The 3,196-nt window shown below is 41.6% G+C and overlaps 1 annotated feature.

Moving 5' to 3' along the window:
• Window positions 1,532–2,123: an enhancer, noted in NCBI's record as "OCT4-NANOG-H3K27ac-H3K4me1 hESC enhancer chr5:91494459-91495050 (GRCh37/hg19 assembly coordinates)". NCBI's record gives its function as "activates a minimal SCP1, AML or CMV promoter by ChIP-STARR-seq in naive and primed H9 embryonic stem cells {active_cell/tissue: H9 hESC(naive and primed)}" and the evidence as "EXISTENCE:reporter gene assay evidence [ECO:0000049][PMID:30033119]".

Here is a 3,196-nt window from a genome sequence, read left to right as displayed (position 1 = left end):
ATCCTGGTATAAAGAGCAGGTCTAGAACTCACTGGGTCCAGATGGGAACAGGAGGTAGAAGATTCACAGAAGTGTTATCAAGGAAAAGAGAGATTTCACAGATCTGATATCAGTCTGAAAATATTAGAAGAATTAATGGGTTTTGATTTTTTAAAAAAGGTATTGTGAAAGAAAAAAAATAGCCAAAACACTTTGAAAATCAACACAAGAAAGAAGGGTATAACACTATTACCTACTCTATTTTTGCTCTGTAGCAAGCAGTATCTATGTAGTCAAAATAATGCTTATTAGTATTTGACTTAGAATCAGCCTATACAGTGAAAGTAAAAAGTCAGTTAAGAACTGAAAGAAGGTGGAGGATAAAAGAGGATGAGTTTTAGAATTTCTAATATCCTCATCTTTCAGTCAGGATTTGAAATAATGTCTATAGTGAATGGAACAAAAATACAGAAATAACTATTCTTTGAAGTGCCAAGTAACCAAAAAAGAAACTAAAAATGGCAAGGTGAATATATTGAGATGAGGAGGAGGAGGTATGGAGAATCCAAGCAAAGTAAATAGTCAGGAAATAAAACTAAAAATAAAAATACTGCTTAAAGTGGATATATCAATACATTGAGGTTTCTTTGTTTCATTTAAAAATATACCCTAAGAAACAATAAAATAAAATAAAAAGTGGTATCTATTTCTGAAACTGGCAGTTGAGTGTATTATAATAGCGCCATGAACAATTCCATTTCCTTATAATTCTACTGCAATTTCTACTATCTCATTTTTATCTTTTATGCATGTATTTATTTCATAGGAGTAAGAAAAATTACTGAAGAATACTACAAAGGTGTGAAATACAATATTAATCAGTGAGTAGAGAAGATGAAAAATAAGTAAACAAAATAGAATCCACAGACAGATCAGAGAAGATATGCAGATGCCATATATAATCATGCTAAAGATATGATATCAAATTAGTATTAAAATATTAATTATACTATTGGGGCAATTGATTATATACAAGGAAAGGAACAAGATTAGATCCTTATATCACAAAATGCATAATACTGTATCTTACATGAATTTCAGAACCAATTATTTAAAATACTCTTGAATGGCAAGAAAATATAGGGAATTTATTTTACCATTTGTGGTGAAGAAGGTCTTCCTAGGCAAGAACAAAAACCTAAAACCAGAAAGAAAAAGACTGCAGGGTTGATTACTATTGAACACTTCTGTTTAAAAATAGCCATAAACAATGTTAAAAAGCACATAACAGGAGGAGGAGCCAAGATGGCCCCATAGGAACAGCACCCGTCTACAGCTCCCAGCGTGAGCGACGCAGAAGACCGGTGATTTCTGCATTTCCCTCTGAGGTACCGAGTTCATCTCACTAGGGAGTGCCAGACAGTGGGCGCAGGTCAGTGGGTGCGCGCACCATGCACGAGCCGAAGCAGGGCGAGGCATTGCCTCACTTGGGAAGCACAAGGGGTCAGGGAGTTCCCTTTCTGAGTCAAAGAAAGGGGTGACGGAAGGCACCTGGAAAATCGGGTCACTCCCACCTGAATACTGCGCTTTTCCGACGGGCTTAAAACACGGCGCACCACGAGATTACGTCCCGCACCTGGCTCGGAGGGTCCTACGCCCACGGAGTCTCGCTGATTGCTAGCACAGCAGTCTGAGATCAAACTGCAAGGCGGCAGCGAGGCTGGGGGAGGGGCGCCCGCCATTGCCCAGGCTTGATTAGGTAAACAAAGCAGCCAGGAAGCTCGAACTGGGTGGAGCCCAACACAGCTCAAGGAGGCCTGCCTGCCTCTGTAGGCTCCACCTCTGGGGGCAGGGCACAGACAAACAAAAAGACAGCAGTAACCTCTGCAGACTTAAATGTCCCTGTCAGACAGCTTTGAAGAGAGCAGTGGTTCTCCCAGCATGCAGCTGGAGATCTGAGAACGGGCAGACTGCCTCCTCAAGTGGGTCCCTGACCCCTGACCCCCAAGTAGCCTAACTGGGAGGCACCCCCCAGCAGGGGCACACTGACACCTCACAGGGCAGGGTACTCCAACAGACCTGCAGCTGAGGGTCCTCTCTGTTAGAAGGAAAACTAACAAACAGAAAGGACATCCACACCAAAAACCCATCTGTACATCACCATCATCAAAGACCAAAAGTAGATAAAACCACAAAGATGGGGAAAAAACAGAACAGAAAAACTGGAAACTCTAAAAAGCAGAGCGCCTCTCCTCCTCCAAAGGAACGCAGCTCCTCACCAGCAAGGGAACAAAGCTGGATGGAGAATGACTTTGACGAGCTGAGAGAAGAAGGCTTCAGACGATCAAATTACTCTGAGCTATGGGAGGACATTCAAACCAAAGGCAAAAAGTTGAAAACTTTAAAAAAAATTTAGAAGAATGTATAACTAGAATAACCAATACAGAGAAGTGCTTAAAGGAGCTGATGAGCTGAAAACCAAGGCTCGAGAACTACGTGAAGAATGCAGAAGCCTCAGGAGCTGATGCAATCAACTGGAAGAAAGGGTATCAGCAATGGAAGATGAAATGAATGAAATGAAGCGAGAAGGGAAGTTTAGAGAAAAAAGAATAAAAAGAAATGAGCAAAGCCTCCAAGAAATACGGGACTATGTGAAAAGACCAAATCTACGTCTGATTGGTGTACCTGAAAGTGATGGGGAGAATGGAACCAAGTTGGAAAACACTCTGCAGGATATTATCCAGGAGAACTTCCCCAATCTAGCAAGGCAGGCCAACGTTCAGATTCAGGAAATACAGAGAACGCCACAAAGATACTCCTCGAGAAGAGCAACTCCAAGACACATAATTGTCAGATTCACCAAAGTTGAAATGAAGGAAAAAATGTTAAGGGCAGCCAGAGAGAAAGGTCGGGTTACCCTCAAAGGGAAGCCCATCAGACTAACAGCGGATCTCTTGGCAGAAACCCTACAAGCCAGAAGAGAGTGGGGGCCAATATTCAACATTCTTAAAGAAAAGAATTTTCAACCCAGAATTTCATATCCAGCCAAACTAAGCTTCATAAGTGAAGGAGAAATAAAATACTTTACAGACAAGCAAATGCTGAGAGATTTTGTCACCACAAGGCCTGCCTTACAAGAGCTCCTGAAGGAAGCACTAAACATGGAAAGGAACAACCGGTACCAGCCGCTGCAAAATCATGCCAAAATGTAAAGACC

Source organism: Homo sapiens, chromosome 5 (assembly GCF_000001405.40).
Source record: "Homo sapiens chromosome 5, GRCh38.p14 Primary Assembly".
Classification (NCBI taxonomy): domain Eukaryota; kingdom Metazoa; phylum Chordata; class Mammalia; order Primates; family Hominidae; genus Homo; species Homo sapiens.
Note: the sequence above shows the minus strand (reverse complement) of the source record. Positions and strands in the feature narration are given on the sequence as shown.